The 20621-nt window shown below is 36.2% G+C and overlaps 2 long non-coding RNA genes across 3 annotated transcripts in view, besides 3 other annotated features; one reads left to right on the top strand and one right to left on the bottom strand.

Moving 5' to 3' along the window:
* LOC101927609 (uncharacterized) overlaps positions 1 to 20621 on the top strand; it is a 164409-nt gene that overhangs the window by 58806 nt on the left and 84982 nt on the right. The window lies entirely within an intron of this gene.
* Positions 5209 to 6408: an enhancer, noted in NCBI's record as "P300/CBP strongly-dependent group 1 enhancer chr7:17273731-17274930 (GRCh37/hg19 assembly coordinates)". NCBI's record gives its function as "activates an origin of replication core promoter dependent on BRD2, BRD4, P300/CBP, MED14 and CDK7 cofactors, with strong dependence on P300/CBP, by STARR-seq in HCT116 cells {active_cell/tissue: HCT116}" and the evidence as "EXISTENCE:reporter gene assay evidence [ECO:0000049][PMID:35650434]".
* Positions 5644 to 5903: an enhancer, noted in NCBI's record as "active region_25674". NCBI's record gives its function as "activates an Ori minimal core promoter by ATAC-STARR-seq in GM12878 lymphoblastoid cells {active_cell/tissue: GM12878}" and the evidence as "EXISTENCE:reporter gene assay evidence [ECO:0000049][PMID:35858748]".
* Positions 6054 to 6103: an enhancer, noted in NCBI's record as "active region_25673". NCBI's record gives its function as "activates an Ori minimal core promoter by ATAC-STARR-seq in GM12878 lymphoblastoid cells {active_cell/tissue: GM12878}" and the evidence as "EXISTENCE:reporter gene assay evidence [ECO:0000049][PMID:35858748]".
* Positions 11704 to 20621, bottom strand: part of LOC107986772 (uncharacterized) — a 129008-nt gene continuing 120090 nt past the window's right edge. Inside the window, exon 3 of the long non-coding RNA XR_001745107.2 lies at positions 11704 to 13781. This is a non-coding gene — a long non-coding RNA (uncharacterized LOC107986772). The remainder of the gene's footprint in view (positions 13782 to 20621) is intronic.

Genomic DNA, 20621 nt, shown 5'->3' with positions numbered 1-20621 from the left:
CCCCGGTTCCCAGCAGAAGATTCTTCAAATCAGCGTATTCTTATTTGAGTGGCTATGGATAGACTCCTCTTGTTAAAAGACTTGGCGTCTGCTGGTACTTTGTTTTCAATGTCTTTGCTTGTTCTTAGGGTTGAAGTGACGAACATGTTGTGTGTTCTGAGCCCCTGAAGCACAAGTCTCACACTGTCTAGTGGAGGGTGGTTCTAAGGTCTGTAAGTTCAGTACTGCCTCAAAAAGCAGGTTATAACCTATAGGCTTCTAAGTCTGAGAGTTGGAGAGAGAGAAGGTAGAGGAAATATGATGTTGATCGTTATGAAAAACTGGGTCTCAAATGATATGAATGAATAATATTCCCTGCCATGGCCTTGTTATGGACTGGGGCCCAGCTGGGACCCTGTCAGGGCCAAAAGCATCACCACCCATCACGGGAGCCTCTGCCCATCAGAACAAGGCTCATTCCTTGAGGGTCTCTTTCTCTTAAAGCTATTACTTCCAAAGTGAGGCAGGACCTTATCTCTTATTGACACAACTACTCAGAGAGATAAGATTTAGCAATATTTGAAATCAAAACACTTCTCTGGCAATACTGTTCTGACCACAACATTTTTTGCTGATGAATTGTAACTTTTAAGCCAAAGCATGCCTGTTACTATCTGAACTCTGAGTATCAGTATGACCTCTGCTGCCACTTGTCTTTTTTCTAAACTGAATCTGCTGCCTGCTTTATTTAACCTCATTTCACAAAGGTGAGATAACCGCAAACAGGACTTTGGAAACAAACCTGCTTCAGGAATAGACCAACATATTAATAACATTCACTTTTAGGTTTTGGGATTGTGGGTGACCTTTATTTTATTTTTAATTTCTGTTATTTATTCAAAAATTTTTAATATGAGTAGCACTTTTATGCCAAAAGGAAAAAAAGGGACATACAACCACGTGAATCTTGGACAATGTTGACCTTTGTCTAAGCTATTTTAACTACATTTGAACCAAACGAAGAATTTTACTGATAGGAACAAAAATATACGTAGAGTGAGCATGAAAATGAAAAAAGAAAACCCAATACTGTTGGTAATTCATCTCTCTATGGTTGATATTTCTTTATTTTTTCATAATACAGTGTCACCAAATTCTGTGAAATGGCCTCAAGGGTCACCATCATAAGACCTCTGTCTCTGCCTCGTCTTTTCCACTCCCTCTTGCTGCTTTCCAAATTAGCCCTATGTAAAGTCACCCTTCTGCTTCCCAGTCTAGCAGCTCATATCACTCTGTGCATTCCTTCCACAGCATCCATCATAAAGGATGTGATTACTCACTTATTTTATTTCTCCTTATACCAGGAGGTATAAGCCCCATGTGGAGTACTTTTAAAAGGTGTGCTTTTTCTATAGCACCACCTCTCATATGAGATAGATATTTATAGACTCAATGATTAAATAAATTCTATATCCATGTTTATAACTTTGCTAGTTTTATTTCACAACCAGACATCAGCATAGTGCTCAGTGTGTTGCCCAGTTATTGAGATGATTAATTCATATTCCAATAATATCAAATAAATAGCATAATTTATGTTTATTCCACATGTGAACTAAAAACATGTTTTTTGAAAATGGATAAAAAATACATTTGGATTATTTTGTTTTCACATAATTTTACATTTCTGCATCCTATGATATTTTAGACTCCAGCTGGAATGGAACTGAAAGTACTGAAATACTATGAGAAAAACTATTCCTGTATAATTTCCAATCTGATTTTGCAAACTAAGTATGTTTGGAAAGGTTGTAGAGAATATGAAAGGGATTTTAGATGTGAATGCCATAAATATCTTAGAACTAGTCTCAAAAATTGATCTCAAAAAGCTACTAAATACTTCTTCCTTTCCCATTATACAAAATATATTGCATATGCTCTACTCTTTAAAAAAATATTCAAAGTAGTAATAAAAGCAAACCATTACATATAGTGCAGAGTACTGGCGATTGAAGTAATTTTTTGCCCCCTCTTTAGAGTGATTATTGGCTTGTCCTGGGTCGTACAGCTAGGCAGAACCAGAATTTGAACACAATCTGGTTTCAGAAGATTTTTCCTAACTCCCTTTGCTATAATGCTTCTTTAAATTACCTGTAATGGGTGAGAAGTATTAGACGGGCTAAGCCCATTCTCATTTATACACAGGCATCTAGGAGTGAGGAGACAATGGAGTTGGATTCACAAAAAGGCTTGGGATAAAATTCTTAACTCTGTCTCTGAAACTGCTACTAATGTAACTTGTTTCTTCAACTCTAAAATGGAGATACAAGTCCTTAATTATTGTGTTTTTGTGAGAATTAAGTAATGAAATGGTTCAAGTCTGTTGCATAATTCTGAAAACCTTAAAGAACTGCATGAGTACTCATGTTGTCAAGTGTGGTAGCCTACACAGACCTCTTTATTCCCTCAGTGAATAATGGAGCTCATGAAATCATTTAGAGAGATCTTGGATTTCAAGTCTTTGGTACTGCTGATCTCATATAAGAAAGAGAGATTCTCCTCATTTCTTTTACACTCAAATATTCAATTCAACAAATTTATCAAGTGCACTCAAGAAGTATAGAAAGTAGCAGGAGGAAAAGGCATGATCACTGTTCTCAAAAGTCTTGGACAAGAAAGGAGATGGGATACATCACACCAAAATCAAAGCAGATTATGACATTTGTGCTATGAAGGGAAAAAAAAATTGTGGGCTGGGCGCAGTGGCTCATGCTGTAATCACAGAACTTTGGGAGGCCAAGGTGGGCGGATCACTTGAGGCGGGAGTTCGAGACCAACCTAATCAACATGGCAAAACCCTGTTTCAACTAAAATTACAAAAATTAGCCGGGTCTGAGAGCACATGCCTGTAATCCCAGCTACTCAGGAGTCTGAGGCACAAGAATCGCTTGAACTGGGAGGCGGATGTCGCAGTGAGCCGAGATTGTGCCTCTGCACTCCCCACTGGGCAAGAGAGCAAGACATTATCTCAAAAAAAAAAAAAAATTGTGAGTTCAGAAGAAGGAGCCCTTTTGGGTTGGGGAGATTAGGAAAGAAGACTTGATGTATGAATATTAGGAGAAAAAAGGAGCAACAAATATGAAGAAATTAGATTCTGTCTGATTCATTTCAAACTTTCATTGAACATCCACTTTTTCCAATACACTATGCTAATTGGGGTATGAAGGAGAGGAAAGGAGGGAGAGGAAAACTCAGAGGTTAGAGTTTTGGGGAGATGACCTAAGTTAGTTCTCCATCCACATCAGCACAATGCCGAACACATGTAAACTAATAACTTATATTCCACAGTGAGTACTAAAAAAGCAAGTGGGTATAATGTCCTGTAGGAATTTCAATGAAAAAGTATTTGATTCTGCCTATGGGAGACAGAGATTCAGGAATACAACAGACAGGATGATGGTTGAGCAGAATCTCAAAGCTTCAGTAGATGGTTTCTAAGTAGATGAGAAAAGGGAAAGGTGGTTCACAAAAGGAAACAACAGAACCGTGGATTTGGGATGTTCTCTTGTCTTCTTTTTAGAGAGTCACAAAGTTGGAAACATTGTGGGGTGGCAGGATAACTCAGCTCTCTTATTTTTCTTTAAAAAATATAGATGGTCCCTTTGTTTCAAAAAAATAAAAAAAAATGTTTGGCTTGGCACCAGTATCTTCTACTCAACCACTTATGTCATGAGCAACTGAATTGACTCAGCTTCACATGTCAATCTCTGTTTTCCCCTGGTGAGTGTCCCAGAAAGTTGGGATGCAGGGGACAGTGATGCATTTAAGCAAAAGAAGAGCAGGTTCAAAGTGATGGAAGGTGATGATTGAGGAAAACAAAAGTTTTTAAAAACTTATGAAAAAGTTCAAGCACATATAATAAGAGATAGAATAATATACCCACTTTATTTTATCTCCTCCCACGTTATTTTGAAATAAATTTGAGATAGCATATCGTTTCATCCACAAGTATTTTCATATATACGCTAAAGGCAAAAAGACTCATTATGACAAAAACAATACAATGAACATACCTTCAGAATCGAAAAACATGAACTCACTTAACATTTTTGAGCCTGAGGACTTGCGAAACAATGAGTTTTGATGCTCTGAGATCAGGGCCCGAGATGAAGGAGTGTGGTGGCATTAACATGTGAGAGATGCCAAAGTGAAGGAAATAGATAACATCACCCAGGAATTTAAAAGGAGGCAAACAATGGAAGAATGAGTCTGTAGGGACAAATCTGAGTAAAGGCCATAGGTACTCTGAGTCTGGATGACATGAAGATCTGTGAGGGCTGAAGGAGTCAAGAAGTCTCATTTGTGAACAGAATGTGACTTCAGTTGGGCCTTAAAGGAGGATAGAATTTAAGTAGGCAGTGGTTTGTGTGAGGTAGTTCATATGAGGCAATTGGTAGGAATAGTTGCATGGAGTTCGAATGGTACAAAGGCTCACCTCACAGGAAGGAAGGCAGTGGTGAGAAACGAGTTCACCTAGGTATGGGAGGATACCATATACTTGTATAAGCCCAGCATTTGAATTTCATTCACCATTTCAGTAAATGATGATTGAATGTTTGTATCATACCAGACACCCTTCGAGGAGCTAGGGATACAACAATTTACAAGATAAGCCTTCTGCTCACAAGAAGCTTTAGATTTAACGTGTGTGTGTGTGTGTGTGTGTGTGTGTGTGGTGGGGGGGTGCATATAAGCAAAAATACCACAATTATTATAATTCATTCAATAAACACATATTGAACATATTCTGTAGGTCAGGCACCATGATGGGTGCTGCAGATACAATAATAAATAAGTCATGGTCCTCAAGAAGCCATTGAACTATTAAAGAGTTTTGATTAGGTCCCTGGTGGCAGATGAAAAGCATTATTTTATTTATTTATTTATTTATTTATTTATTTAATTATTTATTTGAAGACTGAGTCTTACTCTGTTGCCTTGGCTGGAGTGCAGTGGCATGATCTCTGCTCACTGCAACCTCCACATCCTGGTTCAAGCGATTCTCCTGTCTCAGCCTCCTGAGTAGCTGGGATTACAGGAGTGCAACACTACACCCAGCTAATTTTTGCATTTTTAGTACAGATGGGGTTTCGCCGTGTTGGCCATGCTGGTCTCAAGCTTCTGACCTCAGGTGATCCACCCACCTCAGCCTCCCAAAGTGCTGGGATTACATGTTTGAGCTACCGCACCTGGCCAAAAAGCATTTTTAGGGGAGGTTTTTTCTTTCTCCTTGTACACGCAATGAAGTAAAGGACAATCTGAGCCTAGATAAATGAAATGGTAAACCTTGATATAAGGTAGAAGCAACAATTGTGGAGATAAAGGGATTATATAAGAGATGTATTTGTAAAAAAAAAAATGGGGGAATTGAGTAACTGATGAACATAAGTCTCAGACAGAGTGAGAGAGAGAAAATGTATGAGACCATATTTGTTCTCTTTTTAGGTGTCTGAAAATTTGTTGTGACTAACATTTTAAATGTGACAATGTCATGAAACATTTTTCTGGGGACATCAGATTTCTTTGTAGAAAGGGGACTTCCCCATTGCCAATACCTTGACTCACTTATCTGTTCCTCCTCAGATGGGGAGTGAGTGTCATCTTAAAGCAAGCAGAGGTTTGTTTTGTTTGGATATCAATCTTAAGGTCTACTTGGAGCATCCAGAATGTTTCTTAAACGATTGACCAAATTGACCAAAGATGTTACAGTTTCTGAGGTGTCCACTCAGAGTCAGCAAACACTGCACAAATAAAAAACAATCGGTAAATTATTTCCAAGGATTGGAAACAGAAATCCTCAGATGATTCACCGATGACTCAGTTTTCTGTGTATCGCTTCTACTCTACTTGTTGCCAAGGGAACTTGGGGCCTACTTCCTACCACACGACGGCTATAAAAAGTACCAGCAAAAGCCGCAGTAGAGTAACTTCTCTACTCTTTTATTAAAAATGGCTAACGGACTAAATGTCAGTTACATAAGAAAGATTTAGGTTTGTCTGTGAAGGTCATATCTACCGGTACCATGAAATACTGAGAAACCACGTTGTTACTCTTTTTATCTTTCATTTGCTTTTAACTACACTGCTTTCTTTATGCGGGGCATTTTATATAATGTACCTAACATGCCAACAGAAATTGTATGTTCTTCATAAACTCCAGACCAATGTGCTTTTGCAGTGATAGAAGTGACCTGTGAAATCTGTGTCAACCTCAGAGCCAGGGTAAGATACCGTCATCACACTGCCAGCCTGCCTGCTTCTCTGGGTCCTTGTGGCAGGGGAAGGAGATGAGACAGGGAGTAGGAGAGAGACTGACTGCTACAAAGGGACCTGTGCAGCTTCACTCTTATAGCCACTGTCTGTGTGGATCTCTTTTGACAATCATCTTTTATCAAGCAACATAAAAATATCAGTACTATTAAGTATCCATAAGAAGGCACCAATCATGAGTGGATATTTCCATATATAAAACCTAGGTTTCTTTCCTTTCAATATGTGCATTGAGTTCAATTCTCATCTGGAAACAGGGAATGAAAGCCGCTTGTATGGATAGTTGTCAGGAAGACATATACAGGATATAAGTTAAAAGCACAGACAAGCATGTTCTGTGTTTACAGGGGGCAGGAACTCTCTCAGCAAGAAGTCCTGGTACGACAAGACAGTTAAAGGCATTCCAGGAATATACTGTTTTCATTTGGCTGTGAGTCTTCCTAGAAAATGTAAAAGAAAGTTTTCCCTGTTAAGATAACACATTTTCTCTTTATGGTTTCATGAGGGCAGAAGGAAGCTCTCAGCTGTTCTTACATAAAGCCTTGTCTGAGAGGTATGGGATGCCTGATATTTTTTATGCTTAGATTTATATAACATTATAGCTCTTCTTCTCTTTGAAGAGGCAATATGGTTGAATAAGATCATAAATTTAAATTTACTATTAAAAAGTATTAAGTATTATGTGTAATACACACTGATTTTTCTAAAATGCAAGTCTGATCTTGTCATCTCTTTCTACCTTAAAATTTATTATAGGTCTCCTATTTTTTAGAACATTAAAATCCAAGCTTCTTATGGGATGCAAAGCACTTGGTGGCCTCATCTCATTGTTCTTCTTTGTACTTGAGCATCATAGAGTTAGTTACTTGTAGCTTTGAATTCGTATTATTTTTCCACACCTCTGTGACTTGGTGCATAGGCTTTAATAAGCCTGAAATGTCTTCCCTCTCTTCCTATGTGATTGATTCCTATTTATCCTCAACACAAAATTCAGATATCGCCTGCTGTCTTGAGTCTTCACTGACTTAAAAGCAGTTCTTATGTAGGACCTCTACTCCTGTTCATATTTATGATGTTGCCTTTATAATGCTATATTTTGTCTGTTTCATCCTGTGTGCCTGTATTTTTTCTTTTTTTATACTGCATAATTCCTGGGATCCAGATTCATATTTCCAAAAAAACATCATTGTATTTCCAGCATTTTACACAGTCCCTGGCATATGGTAGTTGTTTATAACTTTTTGTTAAAGATCTTCCATTTTGCACCTTATGATAATTGTTAGATAAAAATCTAAAATAATGCATCACTAGAAAATGTAACATAGTAAATAAACATTGCATATGTGTGCCTTATAATGCCATGTAGAAAAGAGTGTGCTCAAAATTCCTTATTGGATAAAGAAGCAAAAGGTCATCGTGACATAAGTCTGATGCACGTAAATTAAAGAGTTATTTGTTCAACAAAGAACAGCAATAACAAAGTCTCCCAAAATCTGATGTCAGGATTAGCTGGTGAAAAGATTAAGATGTGTTTTTTTTTTCTCTCATTGTCCCAATACCTCTCAATGGAACCAACAAATATCTGCTGCAATGTCTGTTTCTTAAAAATTACCTGTTGGGCACCATGTACACTATTCAAGTTGATGGGTAGACTAAAAGCCCAGACTTCACCACTATACAATTCATTCATGTAACCAAAAACCGCTAGTATCACAGAAGCTATTGAAATTTTAAAAAAAATTAGCCTGCTTCTTAGCCAATCACTACTGAAGTTCTGCAACAGGCCTATCAACCAAGACGTATGAGATAAATTGCTCATTCCACCTACTGTTTCTTTGTCAGGGTACTCGCAAAGCTATGGACCCAAGTCTTTGAGAAGCCCTATCACTAGGAATAAAGGATAAGCATGAATTAACAGGGACAGAAGTATACGAGAAATTTTATTTTGAAGCAAGATTTATACTACCCCACTTCTGTAAGATCTGAAGTATCAGCACTATTTGACTTGCTGCAGAGGAAATCAGAACTAGTGTGAGGACCTGTAAACTTATATCAGCAACTTGGACCTTGCCTGGCCAAAGCTGTTAGAGCAGTATGTTGAGACACCTGGAGCTACAGAAGGAGTCACGCTCACTAAAAAGATGCCAGGACATACTGAGAAAGCTAAGGCAGAAATAGCACAATTGAGTCAAGTGCTGGATTAGGGCCAGAAAATGAAGAAAAATCACGCTGAGATATAATTGGGGAATAGAAGGATCTTTGAACAAGCATCGGGAATACTAAGTAGTTTTTGAGTGGTGTGTAGACAGGTAATCTTGGAATAAAATGTTTTGTAAATAATAAAAAACACCCTCTATTTCCTCTATGGGATAAACATTTTCTTCAAAGAGAAGAAAGTAGAGAGCTTATCTGTGCCAGGAATTCTAAGGCCTCAGTGGAGTTACTGCTTGGAATTTCTACCCAATCCCCTGGTAGCAGGCCTCCTGGCCAACTCCATGGAGCCTGGGTTTTCACAAAGCTGGAGCCTTACAGAAAGCACAAGGTAAGACTGAGAAATAGAAGGCTGACTTTAAGAAAAGGAGTACAATACTCTATTGAAAGTTGTCATCTAGATGTTCTTCTACCTGAGTGTTTTCTGGACAACATCCTTGTTCATTTGGCAGTCAAGTCTCTCAAGAACGCTTAGAGGGATGATTGATGACCTGGGCTGGATCCCAATTCTGGAACAAGATGGCATATCCTCGCTTTTCTCTGTTCCTCAGTGGCCCTCTCCAGGTTGCCCAATGACAGTAGGTAGCCCAAGGAAGTACCTTCCACTTCCACAGATGACACCAGAACATTGATTGAGCAGTAAGCCCAACAGCATGCGAAAAATGAAGAACCATTCAACCAGAATAACATTGCAAGAGCTCAGAAAACTAAACTTTCATTGGAACTAAAGCCAATAAAAGTAGGACAGACCTGACAAGCAGAACCTAAACAGGACAACTGCCTGCTAAAACAGAAGGTGTAAATAGGATCAAGTGTCTCCTAACATAAGAACTAAAATGTCCAGGATGTAACAGAAAATCATTCATCAAGAACCAGGCAAGCTACAATCTGAATGAGGAAAGACAATCCACTGGTGCCAATAATAACAAGATAAATTAGATGTTGGAATATCTGACAAAGATTTTAAAGCAGCTGTCATAAAACACACCAAAAATCAATTACAAATCCTCTTAAAACAAATAAAAATATAGAAAATCTGAGCAAAGAAATAAAATGATGGAAAATACTTGGGATAGCTTGCATAGCACCATTTCCAGGCCAACTTCTATGACCCTGGCTGCTTTTCAACTAATCATAACTATTAGACATGTTAGGAACAGTTCTGGATTGGAATACCCCCTGGGACAAACAAGGATATGTAGTGACTCTTAAGTTTCCTTATCTGTACTTCAAATTTCACCCCTCTTCCCTCTTTTCCTAATTTTCCTCAGTAAATTTAACTCTTTAGGAAAGGTCAGTGGTTCACTCAGCTCCTGGACATGATTATAGTATTCTAAGAACTAAAAATAACATGTATTCATGCTCTGTTCAGGGACTACCCAACCCGACCTGACTTGTTGCTGTCAAAATTGGCAGGTACCTACAATACTGATTGGGGTGGGGAGGGTACCCTTTTGTTAAAAGTTCCTGGTTTTACTGTCTCTAAGTCTATACCTAGTTTGAAGATAGATGGTTTTAGTGAGGTCACATATACTAATGGAAACAGAGTAGCAGCTGATGACCAAGATTGCCTTTAGAGTTTAGAAACACTGCCTTGAATTGGGCTTATCCTAAGCCCCAAATTTTAGCCTGCACTAGCCAAGTTGATTTTATTATTAGAACACTTTAAGTTCATATCTGTCATGTAGCAAGCAGTGGAAAGTAACAGCCAGACACCCAAGAATGTTATCAAGGTCTCCAAGCACTGGCAAAGGCATTATGCCCAGAAAGATCCTTGCGATGAGACATTTTCAGCCATTCAAATGTAGTTACAACTGACCAAGGCAAAATGGGGAAATAATAGTACCTGCTTCATCAGGTTGTTATGAGTATTACATGAGACAGCACATTAGTTATAATGATGATGGTCATGGTGATGACTTTTCTGGAAACCAAAGAAGGGATGCTATTCTGCAGGGCTTAGAAGTAGAGGAGCATAACCCCCTAAAAACAGTAAGAGAAGCTAAGACTAAAGGGGTGGGTTAAGACAGAGCCCATAATGCCCAAATGCCAAAAGAGTGGAAAAAAAGCAACAAATCCGTAAGAGAAAGACAAAACAGAGGGATACGCGCTGGATGTCAAGTCAAGAAAGCAGAACCAGAGGGTGAAAACAGCTTAAGATCAAATGGACTGGTGGCTGAGGGGTCTCAAACAATGTCCTTCAATGTTGTCGCTATCTGAAGCTGACTTTTATGATGCAATGTTAAGGAGTATGACCTGCCTTATAGGCCCAAAAGTGGGAAGGCAGTTGAGAGGCCATCACAACAAATAATTATTCAAAACCAGTTTTTGTATTCTAGTTTTGGTGGTGGAAAGCTGAAATGCTTATTTATGGATAATTGAGTTTTAACTATTTTATGTCATTTCATGTAGACATCATGAGATGAGATGTTTCTATTGTATTTTTAGTTTGTTTTCAAATAATGTGTTATGACATAAGATTCAAACTTGAATGTGCCAAAGGTCAGACTTGCTCAATTTGCCCAAAGGAAAGATCATAATGAAAATTCCTAGAGAGGTTTAATACGTCAAATGTAATTACATCTCAGTCAGTTGCTCAACATTTTAAAGCATATTCTTTGTGCAGAGTTCAAAGTAAAGTGCTTTAAATCTACATTTTCTGTAAGAATATTTTATTGGTATAGGTTTTATCTTCGAATAAGAGAAGCCTAATTCTCAAAGATCACAGACACATATGAATCATTTTTGGTTCATGGATTTGTATTTCTGGTCATAAAAATTCACTTCATTACACCCTTATATTTCCATTCTCTGTCTCTTGTCAGAAATATTTTGACACATGACCAATGAAAAATAATCTTTGATAAATGATAAATACAATTGACAACATAATCAAGAGTATATACGCATAAACTAGTCTGTATTACAATTAAACAATTGTGAAATAGAGACATAAATCTAAAGATAAATGAAGAAATCTCTAAATTAGTAAAGAAAACATGGCATATAATGATCAAAAGAATTACTTGTTCTCATGTTATGAGGAAAATAAAATCTCCAACTATAAATATTGTTTTATATTATTTCAAGATCAAATAGTTTAAAATATTTAGTGTCTGCGGTAGATGAGTTAGTATACCGTTTCATATTACTTAGACCAAAGACTTAAGCAAACATCCATATTTGAAATGAATGAGAAAATATTTGCTTTATTTTATATATAATAGTTTTGAATTAGAAGTTTTTTTTCTTTGAAACTGTATATGCTAAAATGTCCGAGACTGTATTGGAATTAATGTTTGTAATTAAACTCTTTACATTTAAGCTACTTGTTTGATTCAAAGTTCAATGAGAGGAAACTTCTTATTCATCTGTCTGTATAAAAGGACTATTCTTTGATAAACAATTTTGTCTCTTATCCCCACCTATAATCATAAGTGTTTACTAGGAAAGATAAAGTCTCTAAGGTTTTTGTTTAGAAATGACTTTTAAAGAGTGCAAATTGCACCATGCCTAGTACATTACATGCCAACAGTAAAAAGGTAGAAGAGCCATTTATGTTGATGGTTTAGTTTATAAGCCTTTTTTCCCTCTATTCTTTCATGGTTTTACTATTTTCATTTCCCCACTATGCAGCCTACTAGTTGCTGAAGAATACCAATTACCAAATGTTGTCTCATTTAGTGGATTTTCCAGTTTCAAAGGAAAATTGCATTTTAGCGTAATTTCAAGATGACTCCTGAGGAGATTCATTTCTGTTATTTGTAGACAGCTGTTTGTTAAATTTGAAATCTTAGAGATTACAGCTTTTCCTTTTTTATCAGTAAATATTTTCTGTGATGTCTTCCATATGGTAAACATTCAATAAAAATTGTTTCATGAATGAATTGTATAGTTCTAAAAATACAAGTATACTAACGTTCTTAACATGATTTTCAACCAGACATACATAATTCTTTACAAATCCACTTCTAGACAACATTTATCTTCAGCTTGAATGGTTATTGCTATAAACAGAGTGAACTTCATGATCTTGCAAAACTTAGCTCAAATCCTGACTCAACCTCTACTAACCATGTGACATTGGGCAAGTTACTTAACTCTGAATGTGAGAAGTTGTTTTTAAGAATTAGACACAAATACATAAGAAACAAATTAAGCATAATAGCTGTTTAATAAATGATTGCATTATTGTTATGAATAAAAACTTCTATTTTTTTTTTTTTTTTTTGAGACGGAGTCTCGCTCTGTCGCCCAGGCTGCTGGTTACTTGAGGCTCTTTGGAAGAGGGTTTCTTAAACCACTTCATTCTCACGTATATTAGTATATCCTTATGCAATATTATCCAGGTATCATACAGTCATGAAAATTAATGGATGGATATGAACAAATTATACTCAATAAAAATAAACATATCAGACAGAGGAAAGCGTATTAGTTTTAAGAACAAAAAGTTTCTTTTTCTGGCTACTTTTTATTAATTTCAAGTTTTCCTCTACCATAGAAAATACAGACAATGTGATATTGCGCTTTTGGGAAGGTATTAAAGCTTCCTTTGAGGCTTACTACAGTTTTCGTGAATGCCTCAGACATTGCTACTACATGCTACCAGGAAAATGACGTCCCTTAGGAATTGCCATTAAATTCATCGGGTAATTCTAAAATAATCATCTTAGAAGATGGTGGAGATAACCTACTAGTTCCTGGAGCAATTGTGGGGACAAGAACAGGAGAAGTAGGGATAATTTAGTATTCCCTTGTCGGACTTGTTTCCGTCATCTCGTTACTCTTGTTGGGACTGTACTGAGGTTATTCCTTGGACAATAGGTGGCCATGTAGGATGCTTCTATTCTCTCTCACCAAAAAATGAAACTAAAGAATTAAAACCTCCTCTGCCAGCCTCGCTCCAACAGTGTTACCTGATTCCTGTCTCTCCTGCAGGCTGCTTGTCTCCTTCACAACAAACCACGTCTGCCTTTCCTCCCTGCAGAAATCCAGTTATCATGTTAGTTCAGTGGACCCATCTTTCTCCTCTCTCTCTTATGTAGCATCTATAGTGTTCAGTTTGGGGAGGAAGCCAGCATCCTCTGTAGTTTATCTTTCTTGTCCAGAGTAGTAAGTCTCAAAATTCTTACCAGGATAATTTATCCCAGAGTCCTGTGCCAATCCATGCAAGAAGTTCTGATAATCTTATTTGAAAGTTGCTGTGAAGAGTTCTGAGTTATACATAATGTCGAACTTCGGGTGAATCATTAATCTTTCTGTTAAAATAAAAACACCATCGACTCTTAGGATATTTAATGTGAATTTTAAAGATGTTTCAAAAAATCAATGTAAATTATTTGAAAAGAAAATAGCCATTTTACTGTTTGATACAACTCTCTTTCTGGGGAAGGAAAATTTTTTTTTAAAAAATCAAGAAACATTCAGTTTACTAATTTGCTGGCATAGTGTTCCTGATATATATATATATATATATATATATATGTGGATATATATGGAGATATACATATATATGGAGATATATATATATGGAAAGGGATATATATTTATCTCCATATATATTTCTCCATATATATATATATCTCTCTCTATATATATATATATATCTCTCCATATATATATATTCGTATATGTATGTATCAGGAGATATATATATATATATATATATATCAGGAGATATACATATATATATATATATCAGGAGATATACATATATATATATATCAGGAGATATACATATATATCAGGAGATATATATATGTGTATCAGGAGATACATGTGTGTGTGTATATATATATATATATATATATATATATATATATATATATATGGTTTTTTTTAAGCAGTTGTCAAAATAGTTTCTGTGAAGCAGCCTACTAGGAATTACTTTGACCTCAGAGTGGCAGAGGTTATGGGGAGAAGCCATGGGTAGTGTTAGAGTAATACTTACAGGAAGAGCTACCTGATAGTGGAATGCATACCATCAGTTCAGTGTATGTGGGCATTGTTGACCACTGTCACTGTTTTGCTTGTGCAAGAACATGGTAACATAAGGCACCTCACCATCATACTGAAGGAATTTACCAATGAGATGATAAAAGCAATGACTGAATGCCGATTTTTTAGCTTCTCTATTTCTTTGTATAATTATTATACTTTCCAGTTTTTGCATTATGTATTCACATGAGTTCAGCTTTCTTTTGGAAAAAGAATAGAGCTGGCTATTACAAATAGTTCTACAATGAACATGGGAGTGGTAATAATCTCTTCAAGATTCTGATTTTAATTCTACTGTCCACAATAGACAAGGCACAGAAGTGACCTAAATGTCCATTTACAGAAATAGATAAAGAAAATGTGGTATATACATATATATGTACCTATACAATGGAATATTATTCAGCCTTGAAAAGGAAGCAAATTGTGCCATTTGTGACAACACAGATGAATGTGGTGGACATTGTGCTAAGTGAAACAAGCCAGGAACAGGACAAATGTTATATGATACCAATTTTATGGCAAATTTAAAATAGTCTCATGGAAGCAGAGAATAGAATGGTGGTTGTCAGGGGATGGTTGGGGGTAGGGAACAAGGAGATGTTAGTCAAAAGGTACAAAGCTCTAGTTTTACAAGATGAGTAAGTACTGGAGAGCTACCATACACCACAGCACTTATAGTTAACAATACTGTATTGTATGCTGAAAATTTGCTAAAATGTTAACTCTTATACTAAGCATTCTTATCACAAAAATAATAATAAGTAAAATGAGAGGAAACCTTTGGAAGTGATGGATATGTTGATGGCATAGAATATGGTAATGGTTTTATGGCTGTATACTTATTCCCAAACTCACCAAGTTGTATACCTTAAATATACACAGCTTTTCATATGTCAACTGCACCTCAATAAAGTGGTTAGGAAAAAATAGAGTTGGCTCAGATGGTTAGATCCAAAGAAGATAAATTTTCTTGTTCTCTTAGCAATGTTAAATAGGCATTCCCAGTGGTATTGGACATTTTACTCAAAACAGAAACAGGAAATATATACAAGACTTAGAGAATGACCACTGTCTGTCATATCTAGTACATATGCAGTCTGATATATGTCCTATAATTCTGTAAGACGTTAAAAGATTGCCAAGCCTTAAGGCCTAGCAGTGGATGACAGGTAGAAGAATACCAAGAAAAGTACCTTGATAACAACTGGATCTCTTTCAAATATACCACATCACATTGGGAGCACATCAGGCAGACAAGACCTTCCACTTTTTCTACTGTGTTTTAAAAATCATTATATTTTACAAGGATTAATATAAAGGATTTCTATATTCAATTAACACAATAATAGGTCTCACTGAAAATACTCATTAAAAAACTCTTGCATAAACATTCATGGTATCTACATTTTCAGACTCTAAAAACTGAGGGTGAATTGAGTACAATTCATTAATACTGATAGACCATAAAATAACTGTATGAGAGCATTCTCATTTGTTTTCACAGTTCCTATTCTGATAGCAGTGGTTTCTAAAGAAAGGCATTCTGTTCAATTCCCACCTATGAGTGAGAATATGCGGTGTTTGGTTTTTTGTTCTTGCGATAGTTTACTGAGAATGATGGTTTCCAATTTCATCCATGTCCCTACAAAGGACATGAACTGATCACATGGTCACAGGAAGGGGAATATCACACTCTGGGGACTGTGGTGGGGTGGGGGGAGGGGGAGGGGTAGCATTGGGAGATATACCTAATGCTAGATGACGAGTTAGTGGGTGCAGCACACCAGCATGGCACATGTATACATATGTAACTAACCTGCACAATGTGCACATGTACCCTAGAACTTAAAGTATAATAAAAAAAAAAAAAAAAGAAAGGCATTCTGCTGCAAAGTCCATAGATTTGCAGAGCTCACATGTCTAAAGGAATTATTGAGGTTAAGTAAAAAAACTAATGATGCTTTGCAAATCAAGTCCAAATGATAAAGTTTAATGCATATATGTATTCACATATATGCACACATAGAATGTATTCAGAGTTATTTTAAAATTATTGCAACCCTATTATGAATATTATTCTGAAACCCATTACAGTATTTTACATATTATGTAAAATCTTCACATAAGGTATTATAAACAATCTTTTAAATACAAACCATGGACATGTTTAATTTTATTTCCTAAGTCATCATGATGGAACATTTGAGTTGTTTTCAAGATGTCATGATTTTATATAATCTTTTGGTCAACTTTTAATAAACAAATATTTGGGAATATATTTCGTGATTTTTGTTAGACAGATCCTTGGCAGTGGAAATGATGAGTGAAAGGTTGAAGGCTTTTGAGATCTTTTGCCAAAATCCCCCTCAGAACAGTTGCATCAAAAGGTAATCTAATCAGCAGTGCATAAGTGCACACTTATAAAGTGTTCCTAATACCTACCTACTGTGTAATATCACCTAGATAATCTCACATGGCACCTCTGTAGAAATAACTTATTTGCTGCTAATCAAAATGCTACTATGATAACATTTGCCAAGGTAAATAATCAAATTAATCATGTAACCTCAAAAACATATGTATGAGAGGAGCCAATTCCTTATAACCATGCAGAATGCCATCAAAACTCTAAGAAATATTTGCAGCTATTATTCTCTGTTTCTCTCAGAGGATAAGCTGTGGATAAATACCGAAAGCTAGTTGCTTCCTAAAGTTGTTTTTCAGATTTGATTACCTAAGACATGCAGATGTCATGTTACGTCATCTTATCAGATTAGCACATGTAATAGATAGAATGTCAAACAAGAGTGAGAATTCAGAGGAAAGAAAAATGATCCCCAGGGCTAGGGTGTAAGTACTGTCTTAGCGAAACTATACTTCTAGATGTGACAGAAGTACCACAAGACCATTTTAAAATCTTAAGACCACCTTCATTCTGTCTGTTGACTCTGAAAATCATAGAACATCAATTACTCTAAAGTGATTTGGCATCAGAGCTGTTCACATTCTTTCTGGGTAGAATAATTTAGTATTTTTCAATCTTTGGTATAACGATACAATGGAAAGAGAATAGAAGAGAAGAAAACCAAATTTTTTTCTATCCCAGCTCCACTACATACGTAACTTGAGGTAGAGGAAGACACTTTTATAACATTAGCTAAATTTCATTGAGCACTCTTTATATTTCAGGCCTTGTGCTAGCATGTGTGTGTATGTGTATCTCATGTAATCCTATAATAACTACACTATAAGCGATATTCTGCCTTCTCCCCCTTCTTGTAAATAGGAACATTGAGGCTGCGAGTTCATATGCCTTTCCCAGAATGACTCAGTCATCAGTGATGGAGACTCATCAAGTGATGGAGACCCATTGTCTGTCATCCCAAGAATCCATAGACTTAACCACCACCCTGTTGTTAAAGTTGCTTTTCTAAAAAATGGGGCACTTAGGAAATAAGACTAGATATTTTCTAAATTTCTCTCAAAGTCTAAAATTCTCTTTCTTAGGACTTCCTACTTTGTTTATAATAAAATGGTATTATTTTTGTATTTATGGAATCCATATGGGCTGAAGGTACTATTTAAACTTCCCAGTTATAATCATACTAATTTTTAAAATCAGCATTAAAATATAACTCATATAAAGCATAGAATTCCTTGGTTTTTTAAATATTCACAGACTTGTGCAACTGTTAACACCATCAACTTTGGAACGTTTTTATCACTCAAAGAAGAACCCTTGTATCTATTTGCTAATACATACAGGGTATGGCTACACATTTCCCATCAACCCCCAATCCAAGTCCCAGTCCTAAGCAATTATTATCTACTTTTTATCTCTATGGATTTGCCTATTTTGGACATTTCATATCAATATATAGTCTTGTGACTGCCTTCTTTCACTTAGCGTAATATTTTCAAGGTTTATCCATGCCATAGCGTATATCAGTACTCTTTTTTAATGGCTGAATAATATTTCATTGTTTGCATATACCATGCTTTCTTCATCCATTTGTCAGGTGATGGATAATTCAGTTGTTTATACTTTTGAATTATTATGAATAATGTTGCTAAGAATATTCATGAACATACTGGTGTATGGACATATGTTTTCAGTTATCTTGAAACATATGTATGCTGGGTCTATGTTTAACATTTTGAGGAACTGCCAAACTGTTTTCCAAAGTGTCTGTACCATTTTACATTCTCACCAATAGTTTATGAGAGATCCAGTTTCTCTGCTTCCTTATCAACACTTGTAATTATCTTTCATATTATAGCATCTTAGTGGGTATGAACTGGTAGCTCATTGTGGTTTTGATTTGCATTTCCTGATAGCTAATGATGTTGAGTAACTTTTCATGTATTTACCACACATATATCTTATTTAGAAGATAAATAAGCATTTAGATATATAAATGCTTATTCAGATCCTTTGTACATTTTTTTCTATTGGAAAATATTTATTATGAGCTTTTATTACATTTATTTGTTAACTTGAATAATGTGAATATTTATATTTCTTGTTCAGGAACTTGGGTGTTTACAGTCCATTCATTTCCTTTTCTTCTTTTTTTTGAGTAAAACTGAATTTAATCTATGGATTTAATATTATTTTCATCTTCTATAAATGTAATTTTTTAATTATACTTTAAGTTTTAGGGTACATGTGCACAACATGCAGGTTAGTTACATATGTATACGTGTGCCATGTTGGTGTGCTGCACCCATTAACTCGTCATTTAACATTAGGTATATCTCCTAATGATATCCCTCCCCCCACCCCCCACCCCACAACACGCCCCAGTGTGTGATGTTCCCCTTCCTGTGTCCATGTGTTCTCATTGTTCAATTCCCACCTGTGAGTGAGAACAGGCGGTGTTTGGTTTTTTGTCCTTGCGATAGTTTGCTGAGAATGATGGCTTCCAGCTCCATCCATGTCCCTACAAAGGACATGAACTCATCATTTTTTATGGCTGCGTAGTATTCCATGGTGTGTATGTGCCACATTTTCTTAATCCAGTCTATCATTGTTGGACATTTGGGTTGGTTCCAAGTCTTTGCTATTGTGAATAGTGCCACAATAAACATACATATGCATGTATCTTTATAGCAGCATGATTTATAGTCCTTTGGGTATATACCCAGTAATGGGATGGCTGGGTCAAATGGTATTTCTAGTTCTAGATCCCTGAGGAATCACCACACTGACTTCCACAATGGTTGAACTAGTTTACAGTCCCACCAACAGTGTAAAAGTGTTCCTATTTCTCCACATCCTCTCCAGCACCTGTCGTTTCCTGACTTTTTAATGATTGCCATTCTAACTGGTGTGAGATGGTATCTCATTGTGGTTTTGATTTGCATTTCTCTGATGGCCAGTGATGATGAGCATTTTTTCATGTGTCTGTTGGCTGCATAAATGTCTTCTTTTGAGAAATGTCTGTTCATATGTTTTGCCCACTTTTTGATGGGGTTGTTTGTTCTTTTCTTGTAAATTTGTTGGAGTTCATTATAGATTCTGGATATTAGCCCTTTGTCAGATGAGTAGATTGCAAAAATTTTCTCCCATTCTGTAGGTTGCCTGTTCACTCTGATGGTAGTTTCTTCTGCTGTGCAGAAGCTCTTTAGTTTAATTAGATCCCATTTGTCAATTTTGGCTTTTGTTGCCATTGTTTTTGGAGTTTTACTCATGAAGTCCTTGCCCATGCCTATGTCCTGAATGGTACTGCCTAGGTTTTCTTCTAGGGTTTTTATGGTTTTAGGTCTAACATTTAAGTCTTTAATCCATCTTGAATTAATTTTCGTATAAGGTGTAAGGAAGGGATCCAGTTTCAGCTTTCTACATATGGCTAGCCAGTCTTCCCAGCACCATCTACTAAACAGGGAATTGTTTCCCCATTTCTTGTTTTTCTCAGGTTTGTCAAAGATCAGATGGTTGTAGATATGCAGCATTATTTCTGAGGGCTCTGTTCTGTTCCATTGGTCTATATCTCTGTTTTGATACCAGTACCATGCTGTTTTGGTTACTGCAGCCTTGTAGTGTAGTTTGAACTCAGGTAGCGTGATGCCTCCAGCTTTGTTCTTTTGGCTTAGGA

Source organism: Homo sapiens, chromosome 7 (assembly GCF_000001405.40).
Source record: "Homo sapiens chromosome 7, GRCh38.p14 Primary Assembly".
In the NCBI taxonomy this organism is placed as follows: Eukaryota; Metazoa; Chordata; class Mammalia; order Primates; family Hominidae; genus Homo; species Homo sapiens.
The sequence above is the reverse complement of the archived record's forward strand: the minus strand, read 5'-3'. Positions and strand labels throughout refer to the sequence as shown.